The 23,632-nt window shown below is 42.3% G+C and overlaps 1 annotated feature.

The window, feature by feature from the left end:
- Positions 21,137-21,236: an enhancer, noted in NCBI's record as "active region_29462". NCBI's record gives its function as "activates an Ori minimal core promoter by ATAC-STARR-seq in GM12878 lymphoblastoid cells {active_cell/tissue: GM12878}" and the evidence as "EXISTENCE:reporter gene assay evidence [ECO:0000049][PMID:35858748]".

The raw sequence follows: 23,632 nt of genomic DNA, 5'->3' as shown, positions 1-23,632 counted from the left end.
GTTTGTAACCTCCAGGGTCACACATTCAGTGGTTCATCAATATTAATTTTGCTTTCATTAACCACAGGAAGAAAGTAGCTCTTTGGTGTAACAGATTTCAGAAAAGTGTAAGCTGAATTGTCTGGGGAATCAAATCATACCATTTTCATTACAATGACTCTTAGGGCTTGAAGCCAGCCTGGTCGTTCTGTAGATAAAGAAACTGAGGCAAGAGAGATTAAGCGATGTATCCAGGGTGATACAACTATTTAGTGTGGTTATCTTTGGGTATTTTCTTCTTTATGCCCATTTTAAACTATTAAATAAGCTTATAGGATGTGAACTTGAATAAACAACTACCCTTTGCCCAAAGAAATGCTAGATTAAAAAGGAACTATGAAATTTAAGAGATTACAACCCTCTCCAGCCTGTTTATGGGGTGAAGTGGGAGCAGGGGAACATAGGTAACAGAATGCTCCCCCATCCTCAGTTTACAATCTCAATTAAAAGGGTCTTTAGTGAAACTACTGAAACATGCTGCATTGTGAATGAACCTTGAGAACAGTATGCTAAGAAGCCGGGTGCAAAAAGCCACATATTGTATGATTTTATTTATATGAAATGTCCAGAATAACTAAATTCATAGACACAGAAAGCAGATTGATGGTTCCCAGGGGCTTGGAGAGGGCAAATGTGGAATGACTGCTTCAGTCGATACAGGCTTCATTTTAGGGTCATGAAAATGTTTTGGAACTAGAGTTGGTGATTACACAACATTATGAAATGTAATAAATACCACCAAATTGTTCACTTTAAAATGGTTCATTTTATGTCATGTAAATTTCACTTCAATTAAAAAAATGTATCTCTAGTCAGAGAGAGAAAGCAAATGTGGCAAACTGTTAGCAATTTGGTAGATCAAGGTACGGGCCATTCAGGAGTTCATGGTGCTAGCCTCGCAACTTTTCTGTTAGGTTGAACATTTTTCAAAATAAAAAGTTGACAAAACATAAAGTATCTCTAGACAGCAAGGAAATAATTTCACGAGATTGCTAAATTGATGTCAACACCTGCAGTCTAAAATTTATACAGTTCAATATGTGTCATTTGATCACTGGCATGTCAAATATAGAACAGCTATGACTTTGCTGGCCAGTAAATTATCTAGCAGTGAAAATCACTTTTTAGGAGAGTCGCAATCAAACATTGTTTAACGTGGGAGCCTATAAAGATGCAAATTCCTGAACAACAGTGTCTAAGAAAAGTACATTGGGTCACTCTGAACAGGTGGTATGAACATTTGATTTAACTGAAAGATCTGAGCTTTTTACGGTCTTTGTCACCATCGAATGAATCTTACATCCGCTGATGACTAAGAGCAAGCAGGGGCGAGCTGCCCAAGTCACAAGAGAAACGTTAGGGGCCCAGGTGACCATCCTGACCCTTGCATAGAGTGTGCTGCAACTCCAGCAGACGTGTAAAGATAACACTACGTCCTGGAACCTCATAATGATGAAGACAGGACAGCTTGTCTGCTTCCATCACACAAGGTGTCAGACAGAGTTCACTGTCAGACAGAGCCTCCCTGGTTCTTTATGGGCCCATGACCTAGTTTTAAATTCCTCATCCAACAATTTCTGAGGCTTGAGACAACAAATGAACCTGTCTACACAGGGTGAGAGGTTACTTGTTTCTTTGACTAAGTTGCATTTTAAAAAGCACACAACGACATGTAACATTGCACAACAATGTTGTTAAAACAATGTAATTAAAACTGCTGAACCGAACACTTAAAAATGGTTAAGATGGTAAATTTAATGTCATGGTTTTTTTTTTTACCACATTAAAAAGGACACATTAGGCTCAAGTTTTATTCTTAATGCAGCAGACCTGAGAATTATCTTCCTTTAGTCTAAAAATGAGGTATGTTGCCAACCTTTAAATCCTGGTGTGACAACACACTCCTGATGAAATATAATCTGCTCCTACAAAGGGGGAAAAACCTCTAGAAAAACAGTCAGATCCCTGCATAAATCTTAGCTGGGCAAGCAAAATGAACATAAGAACAGATTAGTGGCAGAAGGACATTAAAAATAGAAAAGAACTATTGATTTGAAGGTGTTACCTCAAGAGATAAGTACCAAGAAATATTGGAGTGCAGTGGTCTCCATAATGTGAACTAATCTATTCTCCGTTAGGGTTGACTCATGCTTTTGAGATGCAATTTATTGCTTATCTAGACACTGCTTTGGGATTTAACAAATCATTAAAGGGAATGGGAGTTTCCATTTATAAATATAGCTTTTGTAGGGTGACAAATACAAGAATGCTCTACTCAAAAAACTGAGGTCTTTTTTCATGCAATTTTGTGTTTTCCCAGAATTTTGATCAAGCATGTAAGAAGAAATCCATGTTCAACCAACAAGGGCTAATAAGAAGAACTCTAATATTCATCTCTTATGAGGAAATCATCATTGAGGCTCTTGAGCACTTGAAATGTGGCTAGATTTCAAAATTTAGTATGAAAAATGTAAAATATTTCATTAGTAATTTTGACATTGATTGTATGTTAAAATGGTAATACTTTGGATCATCAGACTCAATAAAATATATTATTGAAATTAAGTTTGTCTGTTTCTTTTAACTTTTTTTTTTTTTTTTTTGAGACAGAGTCTCACTCTGTCACCCAGCACCCAGGCTGGAGTGCAGTGGTGCAATCTCGGCTCACTGCAACCTCCACCTCCCGGGTTCAAGCGATTCTCCTGCCTCAGCCTCCCGAGTAGCTGGGACTACAGGTGTATGCCACCATGCCCAACTAATTTTGAATTTTTAGTAGAGACGGGGTTTCACCATGTTGGTCAGGCTGGTCTCGAACTCCTGACCTCAAGTGATCCACCCGTCTTGGCTTCCCAAAGTGCTGGGATTACAGGCATGAGCCACCGTACCCGGCCTCTTTGTACTTTTTTAATGTGGCAACCAGAAAACTTAAAATTACAAATATATTAGCATCATATTTCTAATGGATAGCACTGTAAAGGCCATTTGAGTTTTCTAGCCCACTCTCTTCAAATGAAAACATACACACATGTAGATAATCTGATTATCAAAATAATATATGTTCTCTTTTTAAAAGTAGAATATGTAAAAAACCACCAGGAAAGAAAAATACCCAGATATGCACATTCTTTTCTCTAGAATTAAAACATCTCTTTAAGCATGACTTTCATGAACACACCACAATTTATATTAAACATTCCACTGGTAAATGAATCTATACAAAATAGTTTTGGGCATTGGAGGTAATTGAGACAGTTCACTTGAAAATTGCTTTTGTTCCTCAGAAACTTGTTTCCTAATAGATTTCTTTTCCATTTAGATTAAGAAATGCAAAAATGTAAGTCACTGTACTTAGCTCTGCAAATCTCAGGGATGGCTTGGAAATGACTGTATCAGTTACACCATGAAAAGTGATCTCTAGCTTAAAAATTGCCAAGGATTGGAGAAAAATTACACTGGCCGTCAGCATATTGATAGGACTGAGCTGAAGAAGCAGAAATTTTAAATAACATTGGACTTTGTAAAATGGTGGCTGAGATATTTTTTTAAATGCAGGAAATATGATTTTTAAAAATCAAGTTTTGCCTAGTTTTAATACAATAGTGTAATCTATGCAACAGATGGTTAGAACAGAAGTTTCTCTGCCTCAGTTTCAGCTGAAGTGCTAATACCACAGAAACCAGACACCAAAGTGAACAGGAAGCAAACAAACTTCAATGGGTAGAAATTACAGGAGAAATGTTCAACTCTGGGCCTCTCAACTGGGCATCAAAGGCATCAAAAGAGGTCAGGGCATGGAGAAGTGAGGGGACTGTGAAGAAGTTTCTTTGGAGAGAACTATTGCTGTGCTTCAAGGATGGAAGGACCATAACCTCCTTCACGTTCAGCCTTGTGAGGGAGACTTATGGAAGGCTGCTTGGGAGTTCTGGAAAGTGTTTCCTGCAGAGATGCGGAGAAGCAGTGCCTAACTCACTCCTAAGGAAGCTGAGGTGGAGGGCGGGGGTGCCGGGCATTTAGAACACTATGGAAGGGTTGATCAATTGCTCTGGGGGCTGGGTAAGGAAAGGGCTGCTGTGTCGAATGGGCTTGAAATCCAGACTTTGTCAAGTCAAAGGATATAGGAGTGCCCCTCAGGGATCAGGGGAGGGTCTTGTAGCTCATCTTGGGTTCTGTCCATCGGGGGATCCCCTAGAGGGAAGAGAGCAGCTTTTTCAGGTTTCTAGTGGAAAGAATTAAACAGATTCCTTCAGCTGTTGTAGAGACTGGCTGTTGCCCTCCTTTTAATCAAATGATTTGTAAAATCTTCGTCCCAAATCATTCGTATATATGATATAACAAATCTATTGAGCAAGACTGATTGCAATTGGAATGTTTATTACACTACTATTTTCCCAGTCCCCAGGGTGCAAAAGCTCTTCTCTCCTTGGACCCCCTGTCCAGTCAGTCCTCTTGTGTGTTTCCACCTGCCCTATCTTTACTGCATCTGTGCCCTTCAATAGCCTTCCCCCACCTGGCGCTCCAAATCTGCCTGCAACCCTTTCACCCAAACTGTTACCCAATGCTTCTTTCTTGCTGCTTCCACTCAGCACCCCACCACCCCAATACATCCAACATTCCACCGCCAGATTCCCTTTCCTAAGTGGTGTGGTTCTCCTGCTCTAAAACCTTAAATGCAGTGACCTGGAATCCCAGGGTAGGTAGGAGACATGGTGTCAGGGCAGGGGGAGGGGGGTTGATAAGACAGGGTGCAGACTGGAGTTGGGGAGACTTCATACATACACCTTTCCTAAGAGATCCTTCTGCACATCACCTCCTCTCCATCTCTCTCCCCCCGCCCCCCCACGTAGAGAATTGCTGCATCTAACGAGAGTGTTACCAACAGGGATATGTTGTCTATGTGACTGATGGAGAGGCAGAATTAACCTATGTGACTGATGGAGAGACAGAATTAACCTATGTGACTGATGGAGAGGCAGAATTAACCAAGGCTGTATTCACTAAAGGTAGCATTGGTTCTGTACCAAATAAACCTTGAATACTCAGTAGATTTGTTTATCACTGACATCATAGTCTAATGTTGCTCAGTCTCCTAGAAGGTTTTTCAGGGACCCAGGGGCCTTCCACATTCAGGTTCTGCGCTCCTCATCTGCAAAATGGTGCAGTGATAATATTCTTGTGAAGGGTCGCCATAATAATTAAATCTGTGAGTATAGGTCAAGGACTCAGCACATTGCTCGATGCATAGGAGGTAGTGGTGTATATTTCTTTCTCCCTTCTCTTTGTTAGGAATTTCTCTGATAGCTCAGGGTAAACTCTATTGCTAACTTGTCTATGCACCATACCAAGCTTGCTCTGGTCATTTTGTAACACGAAGTTAACCTTCAGTTTCTTCTTATCAACCCATTAAGTTTTATTCTCCTACTTCTAGCCTGCCCTATATCACACTCCCGGGGTAAGGAGGTCCTTGTTCTCAACCACTGAAGTGGGAAAAGCTCTGATCCCTTCACTAACTCCTACCATCCAATATTTCCAATTTCCCCTCACTCTGACTCTAACTCCCCCAAAAGCTGAGATGTGAGAAGACTAAGATGTTATTCTTCCACAAGTGGAATCTGTGTCACCAGGTGATTTCTAAAGACCCAATAGAAGGAAAAGCCTTTATTGGAAGGATTTCAGGCATGAAAATGGGTGAAAACATGAGTTTTATTTTTGAAAGGGGATACCTGCAAGGTGGGTAGACACCAGCTCTGCCTCTCCTTCCCCGATGCCAAAAAGTTAGTGTAATTAACTCTTTCTCATGGTAAAATCACTTGATTTTGAACCTAAGAATGCTACAGAAGAAATGCAATTTTTTTAAAGGAGCAGAGAATTTTGAGGGCATGTCTTCCAGGTAAAATTAGGTAGGTATCGTTCATTCAATCATAATTCATTCATGTGTCCATTGCTAATCTTGTGGCAGTTTTCAGAGAAGATCACATATTCTTGACATTCCTCCCATAAATTGGTAGCATCCAATTCTCCCCTTCCACCATCTTTAATCTGGGCTAGCCTTACCTGGAAGCAATAGAGTGTGGCAGAAGTGATGCTATGTGACTTCCACAACCTTGTGGGAAGAAGCCTTGGAAGCTTCTGCCTAAGTCTCTTTGAACATAGAGACTCTTTTAAGTCTCTATGTTCTCCAGCTGCTCCCTCTTGGGACTTAGCAACCAGGCTGTGAAAAGCCCAGGCCACATGGAGAGGCAGGTGTAGGTGTCCCAGTGGACAGCCCCAGCTGAACTCCCAGCCAACAGCCAGGATCAACTACTCGACTTGTGTATTAGTCCATGTTCATGGAGCTGATAAAGACGTACCTGAGACTGGGTAATTTACAAAGAAAAAGATGTTTAATGGACTCATAGTTCCACGTGGCTGGGGAGGCCTCACAATCATGGCAGAAGGCAAAAGGCACATCTTATGTGGTGGCAGACAAGAGACAATTGAGAACCAAGCAAAAGGGGCTCCCCTTATAAAACCATCAGATCTCATGAGACTTATTCACTACCACAAGAACAGTAATGGGGAAATCACCTCCATGATTCAGTTATCTCCCACCAGGTCCCTCCCACAACACATGGGAATTATGGGAGCTACAATTCAAGATGAGATCTGGGAGGGGACACAGACAAATCATATCAACTTGCAAGCCAGCCATCGTGGCTGTCCTGTCTAGCTGAGATTCTGCTGACTGTAAGTACAGAAGACGTCTGACTGCGATCATGTACTAGACCCCAGTGAGTGTTCAGCTGAGCCTTCCCTGTATTCCTGACCCACAAAATGGTGAGCAAATGGTTGTGTTAAGCCCCTAAGTCTGGGGGTAATTTGTTTTGCAGCAATCGATAACTAGAACATGTATCATGTTTTTAAAAAATATTTTGGCCTCTTAAAAAAGCTCAGAAGGTTTGTTTTTAGCAAAAGCTAAAAGGCTCCTCACCTGATAAAATGCCCTTAATACTCTCAAAATTTTCTTTCTCAAGAGAAAGAGAAGAGGCAGGTTCCAGTGGATCTTCCAAAAACAAAGGCCTTGATTTCAAATTTTTACCTTCTCTCCAATGTCTCAAAGCAATGACTATGAAATAACACAACACCCTCATATTCTCTTGGAAATCATATTTTGGGGGTAAGAAGGGAATACCTAACATCAACTAAATGAAATGTTGTTTGAATATCTTAGCAAAACACGTTGCAAGAGAAGTATATTAGCTTTTCACTGAGCCACCCACCTAAAGTGTTACATTTTTGACACATTTTGAACCTGCCTGACCTGTGATGAAGCAGATTATGTGTTGCCAGCAGAGAAATTTCTGTAAGAATAAGAATTTTCCTGTGTCCATGGGTTCTCATTGTTCAATTCCCACCTGAGTGAGAACATGTGGTGTTTGGTTTTTTGTCCTTGCGATAGTTTGCTGAGAATGATGGTTTCCAGCTTCATCCATGTCCCTACAAAGGACATGAACTCATTGGGGCTTGTTGTGGGGTGGGGGGAGGGGGGAGGGATAGCATTAGGAGATATACCTAATGTTAAATGATGAGTTAATGGGTACAGCACACCAACATGGCACATGTATACATATGTAACAAACCTGCACATTGTGCACATGTACCCTAAAACTTAAAGTATAATAAATAAATAAAAAATCTAAAAAGGGGGAGAGGATAAAATTACAGATAAAAATCATTCATGATTATATACAAAAATCCTCAACAAAATATTATTCAACCAAACCCAATAATATATTTTTAAAAAGTGTGTATCTCTCACAGTTGTTATAAGAATTAAATGAGACAATGAGTGCCAACTAAAAAAAAAAAAAAAAAAAAGAATTTTCCAGATTAATGGGGCCTAGAAGTTGTATACAATAATCATCGAAGCAAAACAGGAGAAAACACAGCACCTTTTGAAGTCTCATGGCCCACGTTATTTACAATTGGCTGCTGAAGTGCCTTCTGAAAATGTTCTTTATTTTACATTTTTTGGCCCAAAGCAAAAGATATTGTCAAAATAGAGAGAGTTCAAGAAAAGGAAAGAAAAGAATGAAAATGTAGCAGCAGCAGAAATTGTCATGCTAGAGAAATAAGTATTGAAATAATTTGCCCAAAATGCAGCCCTTTTAAATGTGAGAATTTTCTAATATGGGTCCCACACTCTGCCCTAACTAAGAGATTTGATTCCTCACATCGCTTCTAATACAAAGATGTAGATTCAGAAATCTGACTTCAACCATTAAAACTATAGGTATCTTCATGTAATCACTATACATTTATTGTCAGACGTCGTGCAAGAAACAAGCACAATCTCTGTCCTCAAAAGACATATAATACAGTATTGGGGGGGAGCAGTTTTCAAAAAATAATTTAAATGAGTTTAATATGTATAAAATCCTTACAGCATTGTCAGATACATATTGAGTGCCATGTAACTGCCAGGTGAGATGGCTCACACCTGTAATCCCAACGACTTGGGTAAAGTACCTGTTGAAATGTTTTGCCAGTTTTTAAATTAGATTGCTTGTCTTCTTGTCAAGTTATGAGAGTTCTTCAAATGTTTTATACGTAAGTCTATTGTCAGGTATATGTTTTGCAAATATCTTCTCACAGTCTGTGGCTTACCTTTTCCTATTTGTAGCTGCCTTTTAAATGACAGTTTTTCATTTCATTAAGTCCAATTTATCAAAATATTGTGATTCTAATGCCCTATTAAGAAGTCTTGCTGGGCGCAGTGACTCACACCTGTAATCTCAGCACTTTAGGAGGCTGAGGTGGAAGGATCCCTTGAAGCCAGGAATTTGAGAGCAGTCTGGGCAACATAGCAAGACCCTGTCTCCACGAAATATTTTTTTAAAATAGCCAGGCATAATGGTGCATGCCTGTAGTCCTAGCTACTTGGGAGGCTGAGACAGGAGGACCACTTGAGTCCAGGAGTTTGAGGCTGCATTGAAACATGATGGCACCACTGCACTCGAACCTGGATGACAGAGCAAGATTCTGCCTCTTAAAAAAAAAGTGCCCATGTAACAGCTAAGTAAATAAATATCCATCCATTTATTTATTCAACAAATATTTGTTGATCACCTTTTACATGACAGGCACCATACCAGGTGCTGGGGATAGTGGTGAAGAAAGAGCTCACATCTACAGAAGATGTTGAACAAGCAGCAAGCAGGGGCATCCTGGGAGAATTCTCAGGAAGGCTGGGAAGCAAGAGAAGGCTGCTAGTCCCAGGTGGGCAAAGAATAGGCCAGGCCAGGCCCAGCCTGGATGGACTCAGGGGCATGCCTGCTAGCCATGTAACAAGCAGAGTAGTTTGCCCCGAGCCAAAATCAAAATCTAGTATATAAAGTCAAACTCAGGACAGGCTTGAGGGCCAGCAGGTCAATCAAGATCTTCTCCCCAAATTCCATAGTGAATCAGAGAGAAAGTCCAAGTACAGAGGCAAGCACTGGACTTCATGCATTGGATCACACGTGAGAGAGCAAGTGGACCGTGTAGTTGAAATGGAAGACTAGGTGTAGTGTTTGAGAATCCGGAACTCGGAGACCAGAAGTGGGGTCTGCCGTCCAGGCAGGAACCCATGGCACAAACGGGTCTGGACATATTGGAGCTCAAGGCAACTAATCATTTGGTGAGCTTCAGATGATAGTCTTTCAACATTGATGCAACAGTTGTTTAGTTGGGGACCCGAGCTGGTACCAAGATCATTTTTTTCATTCTACTGGGTACTTGGCTGGAGTGGAACCAGTTTAGATCTCAATGGTTATGTAAATAGTCACATGAGAGTCTAAGTTAAATGGTACCACCGATTTCCACTGGGGACGTTGTTGTCCTTATAGATTGGTGCTCAGAGCACTTATCCTCTTAGTCTATCTTTTAACCTGGCTCTGAGCATAAAAGATCTCAAAATGAGGGTGTCTGCTGAGGGCCCTGGTGTGAATGGCCAAGGGCTGTTATGTGTGTGTGTGTGTGTGTGTGTGTGTGTGTGCATCCTCCTGAACAAGGTAGATTCTGCAAGGTTTGGAAATACTGCAGAATAATTGGTTCTATGGCAATTGTCTAAGTTTTACCACTTGGGAGATAATTTAGAGCTTAGTAATTTTTATATGGCCTTTTCCCTTTTTCTTCAAACCCCAGACCCTGGATTTAGAAGTGTGCAGATGTGGTAAGGAGCATGTCTCTGTTCCTTAATGGCTGTGAGGCTCAGGGTAGGTGACTGAACCATGTCAGGTGGTAGTCCCCTGACCTGTAAAATGGGGATAATGGTATTTAAGTCTTAAGATGATTGTGAAGACAAAACAACATATAGAGAGCATTTAATGCGATTCCTGGCTTGTAGAAAGCACTGAGTAAATGGAAGCTATGACTGGTCAAAGTGCTAAGTCGAGGCCAGGAGCAGCCAGATGCCACCCAGCACTAGGGTGATCTTTTCACAACATCATGGGCAAAGTCTCTAAGTAAGGGTTAAAATATTGACTAGGCTGTAGATGTCACTAAATGCAAGCCACTTAAAATGGCCCGTCATTTGCTACTTTATAAGGTACTCAAGAGCTAGTCAGTCCTCTTCCGGACAAACAGCCTTTCCTAATCTTAAAATAGTCAGAATGACTTTGTGGATCAAAGCTGATCTGGCTTAAAACCCTGAGCATTTCTTATTTCTAAGTAAATTAATAATTCAAGGCAAAATTTCTAAATAACAAACTTCCATTTCGCTAACAAGAGTCTGCTAATGGATGCCTCTAAACTTAGCAAGCACTCCCAATGTATCCTTGGTGGGTTTTTGTCATTTGTCTTATAATGCATGCTGGTGGCCAGGCATTGGCAGCATCGATGGTGTCAGATGCAACCAGGCAGCAGTCCAGGACCAACTTCTTCCGGGGCCGTAGATTCTAACACTATCATAGTGGATTTCTCATCCATTAATTATCGATGAAAAAGTAAAGGGGAAGAGTGATGTGTTCTGACATCAACAGTTTCAAACAGCCTGATGAGACATACTAGGATACCTTCCAATATTGATGATCTCAACCGCTGATGGGAGTAACCGAAGAAAATGTTCAGCACAGCTGAGATAACTCAACAGTTCTTTCCTGAACTACTCATGAATCCTGAAACTGGAGTTCACTTGGAGTTTATTGGTTTGTTGTTTTTTAAAAAAAAAAATTCAAAATGGGAAATGCTTCTGATTCTCTCAATGCAGGAAGTTTTTTCTCCCACGGCCTGACCTCATCAGGTTTCATTAGGCTTGTCCATTGAAGTGTCTGTTTTGATTCATTATTAGATGAATTACTAGGCTTCCATTTTCAAATTTGAAGAAAAAAAAAAGGTAAGTAACTATATATTTCTTACAAACGGGTTGCCCTTCCCTTCGTCCTCCTGCAAACACTACTCCAAGCATGGCTATTCGGGAGAGTCTCAGAAACGTTTCTGTCCTGCTGTCACCCACTTGTGGGGCAAAACCATTTGAAATGCAAAGGTTTTGCCTGTGTCTGGGTGTTAGCAGCACGTTCCAGCTGGTTTGCAAGGTAGACAAGCAGGGCACATACCCACTGAAGGCAGGAAGGTGAGAGGGAGCTGGAGAGAGCCCAAAATGGTTTAAATGCAAAATGAAGAGATTTAGAATGTCAAGTTTTAAGATCAGGACCAGCAGCAAATACAACTCCAAACCCTTGCCCCCAGATCTTGTAGCAGGCAACATTATATGGCCATAGCCAACAGGATGCAGGACCAAAATATATAAGAAGGGCAGAGTGAGAGTGGCCTCTTCATGCTCACTGTTATCTAGTGGGAGTGGCCTCACTCTCCAGACCAGCCTGTGGGAAGACAGTGGATATGGCTTCCTTTCCCTTCATTGTAACTATTGGAAATGTATTCTGTAACCTGGGCTGACTACATAGTTTTCAGGGCCTGGTGCAAAATGAGAATGGAGGACCCCTTGTCCATAAAGCAGGATTAGATGGGAGGCTGAGGTGGGAGGATTGCTGGAGGCCAGGAGTTAGAGGTTGCAGTGGGCTGTGATCGTGCTGCTCCACTCCAGCCTGGGCAACATAATAAGACTCTGTCTCTTAATGCTGCTAAATGTACTCAATATGTACTCAAATATCAAATGTTTCCTTTCCTCTATGCGCACTCTCTCTCGCCCTCTCTCTCTGTCATGGTGTATTTAGTCCTGACTTAGTGTCATACTAAATCCTCACAGGCACTTGGAGTCCCATCCTGTGATGTGGTCCACATGGTCCACTGCCTGTCAAGTTCCTTGTCCCACCAGCCACTAGATCAGTGTGTATGCGGTGCCCTGGCCCCAGGGGAAGTCAATACCCCCTTCCCACGGCCCACTGCCCCCACCCATGGCAGGTGACCAACCCTCAATAAATTGCAACCTCAGTATCTGGATTGGGGTGGATTAGAGGCTCGCACCTACCAAGTGGCCCACAGAGCCCACCATGGTGCTGCCAGCCCAGAGCAGGGACAACTGTGGCTATGCCTGACCAGAGGCTCCAGGTGGCACCCGGACATTTCTGGCACCTATGCCTGGTACAACATGGGTCTCCAACTCTTTCCCCCAGCTCCCTACCCCACCCTACCCACAGCACTCTACCCCCTCCCCACAATGCTACCTGGGCACTGCCCCAGGTAGATGGTGGCAGAGGTCAGTCACAGGGCAGAGAGGAGGCAGCCAGGTAGGGCTGGGGCTCCAATGGGTGGAGGAGAAGGGGTGGCCAAAAACCCATTGGGAGAGGTGGGGAGCAGCAGAAGGTGACCCCAAGGTGGGCCAGGCTCTAAGCTCCCCCCAGCTCTTGCTCCATTGTCCCATCCCATCGGGCTTCACTTACAAAACACAAATGCGAAGAAAAAATTATCAAGAATTTCAGTACAATAACAATTGAGCATTAAACTGTAGACAGGGCTTTTCTGAGCACAAGGCCCTGTGTCATCGCACTGGTTAGACAGCTGTGAAGCTGCCCATGCTGTAGTCTCCAAAAATGTTCCCAAAGAAAGCTTTCCAGGGATGACACTAACCAGGAGAACTTTAAAAGTCTGCACACTCCAAATTCTTACTTTCAGCCCCAAACTCACCCCCTATTAACCTGGCAAGATTTAAGAGAAGAAATCATCCACTATCAAACTCTTAGATGTTTTGAGTACTCTTCACACAGGATTTTCTAGACCCTAATTAACCCATTTTCATAGGCCTTTCAAATGGGGAGCTTTGGGTTTTGATTGCATTTGTTCACAGAAAGTTTTGACAACCCGAAGCTTCCAGTTCATCCCTTGGTTTCTCAGTCCAGCATTGTGGGGCAGGGGTGGCACCAGAACCCTAGAGGCTGCTGCTTTGACTTCTGCCTATATCCACTAAATTTCCTGTCAACCAACTGGGTCTCAGCCAGAGCCCCTTGCAAGTTCTCTAACACCACCTCCTTGTCATCAATTAAAGGCATTTTCAAAGCACTGATGGAATTCTGTGATAAGTAAATTATTAAATAAATAAGCCCAACGTTGTTTACCAACTGGCTGACTCTTCTGTCTGCACTTGGCAGTCCATTGCCCCAGCTTTCAAAGCCAATGAACTTGACAAAAAGAGAATCTGTATCATTTGTGAAATCCAACATCACATTGCATAAAGTGCATTTGATATACTGTTAGGACAGAAATATCATTTCCTGCCTTGTAAGTCATTTGAGTTTAGCAAAATTATACTTATTTTCCTGATATTTGTTTAATTAATATCAATGTGGTAATGAGACGCTTGATACTATTTTGCAAAATTACCACAGGAGTTGTTTCACTAAAACACTCCCCTTGTATACAGGGTGTCTTCCTTCGTTTATATCATGGTTCAGATGGGAAGTGGTCATAAAGCCTCTGGAGGCTGTGGGCACATATGATGTTTTTCTGTCATTGTGTGTGTGACCCAGATGCAGCCACCTGGAAAGCCTGACTCCCAGTCCAGAGCTTTTTGTGACATTACAGAGGTGAGCCATGAAGTCGGGCAGCTCCTTATCATCCACCGCTTCATCCATCTGCCCATCCATCTGTCCATCTGTCCATCCTAGATGCACAGGCAAGAAGGTGAAGATGTTGGCTGACATTTCTTCAGGGTCTAAAACCTAGAAGGAGGAGGCACAACCACCCTTGCTGCACCCTGGAAAGGAGCTGGTCCTGGAACTGACGTTTTCTTCTGCAAGCCCCTCTCCCCCAGTAAAAACCATTTCTGATCATGTTATGTCCCCTTTTCTGGGACATAACTTCCTATATCAAGTCCTCAGAACACTGTATTCCATATTTAATGGCTCGTTCATTAAAATGAGCTTTGTGGTTGGACAGGTTGGGTACATGTTCCTTTCTAGAACTTTGGAGTTTGTCTTGCTTCCTCCTGGTTAGATTCAGGTTGTGTATTCTTTGCTGGAAAACTGCGCTGATAGCGTGCCTTTCCTAAGGTATCACATCTGGAGGTATGTGATGTCCATCTGCTCCTCATGGGGGAAATTAATTGAGATCACCCAAAGTGTTGTCCAATTTCTCCATTATAATGTCACTGGATCCCTCCCCCTTGCATCTAATATACACTCTGTAAGGAGACACTTTGAATTCATGCAAATATCCTGCTTTTCATCAAAATGTCCTAGCTTTACAATTCATTGATGATTCTTGCTCAAGCCAATTTTTACCATGAAGTTTGCAAAATGATGATTTTTCTGGCCGGGCATGGTGGCTCATGCCTGTAATCCCAACACTTTGTGGTGGTGCACGCCTGTAATCCCAGTGACTTGTGAGGCTGAGAGGGTAGGAGGAATCACCTGAGCTCAGGAAGTTGAGGCTGCAGTGAGTCGTGATCATGCCACTGCACTCCACTTTGGGTGACAGAGTGAGACACCCTGCCTCAAACAAACAAACAAAAAAGGATGATTTTTCTGATTCTAACACCCTGTCCACCTTGACCTTCTGGCCCTTGACATTCAACTATAAGTAGAAGAAGCTTTTCCCCTCTGTCCTATTTCTGCACCTATACGTGTCTGTCTGTCTATCTGACCAGTATGAACTCATAAATTGTCCCAGATTTAACCAGCAGTAGCCCCTTCAAGCTGGTTCCTGAATCTTCGTGACAGGCCACCATCATGCTTTTGAGCACTCCTTTACTTTCCGACATAACAGAATACTCCAGGATTATCTTGTACCTACACTATCCCAGCCCTGGACTCAGCTATTTTTCCTAGGAGCTCTGGCTCCTTTAATGGCGAATGGTATTAGATACCAAGATCTCTATGCTATTTGTATTCATTTTATCGGTGCTTCTTGGCCCTTTCACTGGAAAGAGTTAAGAGATATATGCACGTATATATACATATACATGCCTACACATGGACACATATATATAGTGTGTATGTAAACATGCATATAGACATATATGTGCACATTTCAGAAATCATGAGTTTGCACTGATACCTCCAATTTCAGCTTATCTCCACAGGATTATTTCCTGCCTCCCCCATTTCATATTTTTCTGTCCCTTCGTCCATAATGAGAATGCTGGCTCTCAATGACATCAACACGTTTACTCATTTGTTCAGCCCTGTAATGGCTCTAAAATAGTTTCAGCATTATTTCACTCATCCTACAACAGACAGCTCTACAAAATGACTTTGGAATTTGTTGTGATTCTCCCCTCATCTCTCACTCTACCCTGTCCGACACCGAGAGTTTATAGTCAAATATTGTATTCTTAAATTACTTGGATTAGTGCTCTCTTTGCTTTCTTCCTTTCCCTCCTGTATAATTATGATGTTCCTTTGATATACAGTGTAATTATGATGTTCATTTGATGTTCATTGATACACAGTGGTTCGTTTCCATTTGCTTTCATTTTAGTTTTTTTCCTTTCTCATTCTTATGGGTTTAATTTAACTTTTCAAATATGTAGAATATTAGCTTGCTTTCAAAAGCTAAAACTACACCAAAAGCTACATTCAGAGAAGTGTCAATCCCTCCTGTATCCCTTCCACTCACTTCCTGCTTGCAGGATACCAAATGCAAAGTTTCCTAGTTTATCCCTCTTGTGTTTCTTTCTGTAAAGATAAGCAGAAATATGTATGTTTTCTTTCTTACACAAAACTGGCAACCTATATATGCTTTTTCATGTTCTTTTTTTCAATACTAGCTCCCAGAAATCACTCTGTATCAGTTCATAGAGATCTTTTGCATCTTTTATCAGAGCTGCATGGTATTCCATTGTGTACGTGCCACTCTCCTATGCTTGGGTGTTAATACTGTTTCCAATATTTTGCAATTACAAATAAAGCTGCAATAAATAACAGATTAGTAGACTTTTTAAAAAATTCACGTCAAGCTCCTTAGAGAGAGAAAAAGGAGATAAAGACAACTGATAAGACCAGCAGATATAAAAGCCAACTTCCTCAGGCTAGCTTGACCCACCACATTGCACAAACAGACCTTTCCAAGAGGTAAACAAGGTCCTAACTGTGGTCTTGTCTTTCTCATGGTGATGGGGGATGCTTTTTACAGTTTTATAGAACTAGAAGAAGGAACACCTGGGATCTCATTTTTCTCATTCCTGGATGCCTGCCTGCCCAGCATCAGTCAAGTTGCCCCTTATCTTTTCTTGAAGTGAGTACAATGGCACATAGCAAACCCAAAGAAGAGGGCGGTGCAAGGCTGCTCATACATGTGTGAGCAGATTGGACAAGCTTGATTGGCATTTATTATACATTGGGTACACCTAGGAAGTAGGAGAATAAAAGGCACCATACAGTCCTGTTGAGAAAATAAATTCCACTAGGATATCCTTCTTGGGGACTGGAGTAGATTATATTCCTTTTTGCCAAACATTCCAGTGACCCTCCTCATGGGAGGGTTGGACTTCCTTGCCCTGTGGAACTCAGGAGTGGCCGTGTACCTTGCTTTAGTCAATACATGTAGACAGAAATAATGTGTATCATTTTGGAGCAGAAGCTTCAGGATCTGCTCCAGGTTCACCATGTCTCTTATTTTCCTTTGCCGGGAGACCAATAACTTCCTAGACAGAGGCTGTTTCAGAGGCTTCACAAAAGAAGGAAAAGGAATGTGCATGAAAATATGCTGAACATCAGTCAGCAGGAAAATGCAAATTCAAACCACAGTGAGATACCACTTCACACCCACTAGAATGGCTAACATGTAAAAAGACTGACTAGTTAGCAAGGATGTGAAGCAATGGAAACTTTTATATGCTGCTGGTGGGGTTGTAAAATGGTACAACCACTTTGGAGAACAGTTGGTCAATTTCTTTGTCTTATAAAAATAAACATACACCAACCACGTGACCAGCCATTCCACTCTTAGGTATCTACCCAAAAGAAATGAAAACTTATGTCTACAAGACTGGTGGAGGAGTGTTTGTAGCAGTTTTATTCATAGTAGCCCAAACTGAAAACAACCCAAATGTCCATCAACAAGTGAATGGATAAAGAAACTGCGATATATTTGTACTGTGGACTACCCTTCAGCAAGAAAAAGGAATAGACAACTGGTACATACAATAGCATAAATCATTCTCAAAAAAAACCTCGAGTCTAAAAAGCCAAACACTAGAATATATACTACATCATTTCATTTCCACGAAGTTCTAGAACAGGTAAAACTGATCTATAGTGATAGAAATCAGATCAGTGGTGGCCCCAGGCCAGGAGAGGAACTGACTGGAAAGGGGGACTCAGGAACTTTGTGTGATGATGGAAATACTTTATATCTTGATTGGTGTGGTGGTTACACTGGTGTATACAGTTGTCAAAATTCATAAGATCTGTTCATTATATTATGTGTAAAAACAAGAAATGAAAACAAACACTAGAGTCTCTTCCTCCAGTCTGGGTCCCAAAGTGAAGATGATGTACAGCAAAACCAGTGAGGAATAAACCTTTGTCTATGTAAGCCACTGAGATTGTGGGGTCATTTGTGATTGCAGCATAACCTAGCCCATCCTGATTAATACAGGGACTCGTCCCATTGGCACATTCAAGGATCTGAGAAGTTTTTCAGTAAAGAAACCTGCTTGGGCTGGGCGTGGTGGCTCACACCTGTAATCCCAGCACTTTGGGAGGCCGAGGCAGATGAATCACTTGAGGTCAGGAGTTCGAGACCAGCCTGGCCAACATGGTGAAACCTCGTCTCTACCAAAAATACAAAAATTAGCCAGGTGTGGTGGCACACGCCTATAGTCCCAGCTACTTGGGAGGCTGAGGCAGGAGAATTGCTTGAACCCAGGAGGCAGTTTGCCGTGAGCCGAGATCATGCCACTGCACTCCAGCCTGGACAACAAAGCAAGACTCTGTCCTGAAAGAAAAAAAAAAAAGAAACCTGCTTGACATTATATATATATCCGGTATTTCTCAAAGTATTTTGACAATCTAATTATTCTTTATATAGCGCACCTTTAATATATTCTGAAAGTAGCTTCATAAAACACAATCTGTTTAATTTTTAAAGAGATTGGGGAGCACATCCTTTTTTAGAATAATTAAAATATTCCCAAATGTTAGCAGTTTGGGGTAATGATAGCACATTAACATTTATGCCCAAATTATGAGGACCCCCTAGCCCATCGCACCTCACCCCCACAAAAAAGAAAAAACAAAAACAAACAAACAAAAAAAAAAAACAACAACAACCCTCCTCTAATGTCCCTGGGACTTCGCAGGGCAAGTGTCTTATAGGTATTCAAGAAAGGGCTTGCTCACATTCTTCTGAGCTGTTTTGCTGTCAGGGTCCCTAGCTCCTGACAGTTGCTGGGTAGGTACCTGTTTCTTGCTATTCTCTATTAGTGGCCACCCCAAGGCCCAGAGTGCCAGTGCTATGTGGTGGTCTGTGGCAGAGTAGGGATGGGGGGCATGACCCCTCTCGGGCCCAGCATGTCAGAGAGTCTTTGATGAGTGGAGTTCCTCAGCCTTAGGTCCTGACTTCTATCTTTCTAGAGTCTCAGAACCTTCATCAGATCAGACATGGGGTAGACACCAGGCCTAGAATTAATCTCCCCTCTCCCTTCTCTCCAGGTATTTTTCCTCCTCTTTTCACCTTCAAGTGAAAAGCACCTGAAATCAACTCAGGCAAGACCAGGGCTGCAGGAACGCCCAGCTGGGTGGTTCTGATGACAGACTGCCTCCTGGTTCGGAACTCAGCTGGGACACCGTCCTTCATGAGGACTTTTCATGCCTCCTTTTAAGCTCCTCAGTGAATCCAATCTGCAGTAGTGGTGGAAGTTGGGAGCCTCAATTCTGCCGTCATAAGGAATTGAAAAGGCTCTGAAAGTTGGTGATTGTTCCCATGTCCAGCTCAAGGGCACCGAGCCGCTGGGCTGAGGTGGAGACCAATGTCCCCGGGGCAGTAGCCCAGAAGGAAGCCAAGGCCTTTTTGCAATAGTTGAGTATCCAGACCCATCTACAGGGAAATCTTTGAAAATATTCCTGCCACTGAAGTCATGTTGGGCTTCTTAGTTTCAGTCCCACTAAGCCCTTGTGGGAACTTCAGGTGTGTAGTGGTGAGAGAGGGGAGACAAACAGGAGAGGTGATGGAGCGAACAAGGTGAGAATAAATCCCATTCTGGAAATAGCTTGAGATTGAAAATTCAACTGGAAATCATACCTGGGAGCAAATTCAGAAAATGAATGATGAATGAATCCAGTAATTAAATTCAACTAGTTCCTTTTAATATGATTTTCCCCCTGAGAATAATCAGCAGAACTCTAAGAAAACTCTTTGCCAAAGTTATCTCATTTAATTACTGTAATTCTGTGTCACATACAGAGGAAGAGATGGAAGATAGAGGTTTGACTTCCTGGTTTCTGTGTATCTGGTAATATTGTCTGGTTCATGGGCTGGGGCGAGGTGGGGAGCCATTGTTTTATCTAATACAGAGGTAAATTTTGTGGCTGTTTGATTATAATTTCTGATCTGAATTTGAAAGCTCTTCCCTACCTATGTGATTAACTTGAAAGAACTTGGCTGAAGGCATCCGGGTTAATAAAAGTCTTTTTGGTAGGTGTGTTTCTCAAGCAAATAAAAGTTAGCAATTTCCCTGGCAAAGCTTAGCCTTTGTGAGTTATTGATGAAATTTTTCCCTCTTTCTCTCTCTCAAAGGCAGAAGTGGGGTAAATGGAGCATTGTGGATTGGGCTGTAGGAGGGTGGGTTATTGGTTGATTCCACAGGTGCAGGAGTAGTGAGAATTCTTAGTTGAAGCAGCTCCCACCCGCTTGCATTGAATCTTTCCTAAGAGGGGCTGCCCTTCAGCAGAATGTCACGTAGAGTTGCTTCTCACCCCAGATCTCAATTTCCTCATTCTTGAAGATTTCTACAAAAGAAACCTATGCCCTGCTTTTGCTTGCTCTCCACACCCCTGTAAGTGGGTGCTCCAGAAGACACGGAGGCCAGCAAGCCAGGACGCTTTGTTCTGATGGCTCCTAGCAACGGCACCTTCACACAACTCTCATGAGTCACTCTGAGCCCCTGTCTGGGGGCGAGCACGAGCACACTATACTGTCCCGAACGCCTGAGCGAGCCCATCATCTTCTCTTACAATTATTAACTCAGGTGGTCGTTTTGATAAGAAGTGGAAAAGTAGGGAAAACACTAGAGATGTCGCAAACTGCCTGCAGTGACAATTTTCCTTAAATATAGACGTTTATTTGAAGATATTTACCTAACTCTTCTAACCAAGATAACATCTGATCGCAGATAGCATAGTACCCTTTCAAACTTCTTAGTGTTATACACCATACACTCAGAACAGTGTATCTAACCTCAATCTACAGCTTGCTGAATTTTCAAAACCGAAACACACGCCTGCTGCTAGTAGCCAGATGATGAAACAGGGCTTTACCCACACCCCAGAAGCCCCCATCCCAATTGCTCCTTCCAGTCACAACTCTGACCCCCAAGGGTAGCCAATAGCTTGGTCCCTAAAGGCAGAGGTTCTTTCTTGCCTGTCTTTGGACTACATATAAATAGAATCATCCAGCATGTACTTTTTTCCTGTTTTCTTTCCGTCTGCATTACGTTCATGAGTTTTACCCATCTTGTCTCAGGTAGTTGGGAGACTGTTCATTCTCATTGCTGCATAGTGGTATAAATACACCAGAATTTATTTACTCATCTTCCTGTTGATGGACATTCAGGTAGTTTCCAGTGCAGTCTTGTTATGAGTGGTGCTGCTATAAACATTCAAGTTCATGTCTTTTCACCAACATGAGTGTACGTTTTTGGTGGGTATACGGTCAGGAATTACATGTTCAGCTCTAGGAGCTACTGCCAAACAATTTGTTTGTAGTTGTATCAATTTACACTTCCACCAGCAGTGATGAGAGTACCAGTGGCTCCACACTTTCTCCTAAAATGTACCTAAACAGGTGCCCCACCTGCTGGGGGATGTGGTATATGCTAGTGGCCAAAAGCCCAGACTCTAGAACTAGATGATCTGGGTTCCATTTCTAGCTTTATTATTTAATAAGTGTATGACCCTGAGGACCTTACTTAACTTCTCTGTGCCGCAGTTTTTTCACCTATAAAATGGCAATCATCATCATCTTCTTCATAGGGTTAAGAATTAAATGAACAAATGCATACAGATCATTAAGAATGGTGCCTAGCAGGGTACAGTGGCTCACACCTGTAATCCTAGCACTTTGAGAGGCAGAGGGCAAGCAGATCACTTGAGCCCAGGAATTCAAGACCAGCCTGGGCAACATGGCGAAACCGTGTCTCTACAAAATATTAAAAAATTAGCCAGGCGTGGTTGTGGGCACCTGTAGTCCCATCTACTCAGGAGGCTGAAGTGGGAGGATTGCTTGAGCCCTGGAGGTCAAGGCTGCACTGAGCCATGATCGTGCCACTGCACTGCAGCCTGGGCAACAGAGTGACCCCATCTCAAACAAAAACAAAAAACCGTACTTGGCACATAGAAAGTACTCCATAAATGTTAGATGTTATTTTTATCCAAATGTATTGAAATTAACAACCACCAGTGCAGTAAAGGAGCTGTACATCCTACTGTAAAAGAAATGGAACGTTTCCCACACAAACCGAGGAGGCAATCAGGTGAACGCCACAAGGGGTCTCTATACAAGAGGCGTGACAGCATGCAGTCTCTGACTATGTAAATCAAAGCGAATTCTTGAGAACTTGAATGTGCAAATTAAACCAGAATGTCAGCGCCCTGCAATATTTATGGCGAAGTGTGAACCCTGTATAGAAGCAATATAAATGACAGTCTTTGATTTTATTTATTTATTTATTTATTTGCTAGTGAGGCCAGTGACATATATTAAGTTAACTTACTATATATAGGACCTCAGTGAAGTGAATTCCTTACAAATCCTATAGACTTGTATAGTTTATCCTTTGGCAAACACTGTTTCAGGAATTGACATACATATGGATTTCAGTAAATAAATGTGGATTTCATCAACAGTCAATGCAAGAAAGGGAAGTGGTAGAGAAGAAATGATGATAGGAGAGTCATTGGGTAGGAAGTTCAAAGGCACGCAAAGCTGAGATGCACCCCATCACCAGGTGTAGGTCATTGAGCGGAATTGGTTTTTAATGGTAAACGTCAGCAAATACATTGCTTGTCTCTTTCAGGTTAGTGGGACTCAACCCTGACTGCATAGTAGAATCACCCGGGGAGCTTTCGCAACTGCAGGGGCCCAGCCTCAAATCCAGAAATTCTGATTCAGTTTGCTTGGAAGCAGGGCCCAGCGATTTCTTTTTCTTAAGTTCTCCAGGTGATTTGAGTGTGCAGTCAGAGTTGAAAAATGCTGCTCCTGGCTGGGCCTGGTGGCTCACACCTGTAATCCCAGCACTTTGGGAGGCCGAGGTGGGCAGATCATGAGGTCGGGAGTTTGAGACCAGCCTGACCAACATGGTGAAACCCCCGTCTCTGCTAAAAATACAAAAATTCGCCGGGCGTGGTGGTGCCCACCTGTAATCCCAGCTACTCAGGAGGCTGAGGCAGGGGAATTGCTTGAACCCAGGAGGTGGACAGGTTGCAGTGAGCCGATCATGCCACTGTACTCCAGCCTGGGCAACAGAGTGAGACTCCATCTCAAAAAAAAAAAAAATGCTGCTTCTTCTGAGAGGCAATAGTGACAATGCTGCTGGTGTCTTCTGAGTGGTTATCTCTTCCAGTGGGGCAGCAGAGTGAGATCCTGAGTAGTTTCTATGGCATCTGCCTGCTTTGGTCAACTAAAGCTCCAAACACTGGCTCAACTGGTTTTTATCTGGTGGATTTTCTTTCATACCTGGCACCTCCGAATATTCCAGTCTATTTTAAGCCTTCCTGTGGTTTTTAAAGCATGATACTTTCTGAGCCAAAGACTTACCATTTCAAATCGCATGGACCGTGATTCAATCTGGAACAGAACTAAACAGGACAAGGTGTTGCCCCAATTAGTAATTGGACATTTTCTTATTGATGAAAGAAGATACATGAAAGTGCATTGAACTGTAAAGCCCTTCATAGAAGAGCAAAATTGTTTTTTATGTTGTTGCTGCTACTATGTGTGGTGTAAACTTCAGGAAGGTAGG

This window comes from Homo sapiens, chromosome X (genome assembly GCF_000001405.40).
Source record: "Homo sapiens chromosome X, GRCh38.p14 Primary Assembly".
In the NCBI taxonomy this organism is placed as follows: Eukaryota; Metazoa; Chordata; class Mammalia; order Primates; family Hominidae; genus Homo; species Homo sapiens.
This window is presented reverse-complemented; position numbering and strand designations above follow the sequence as displayed.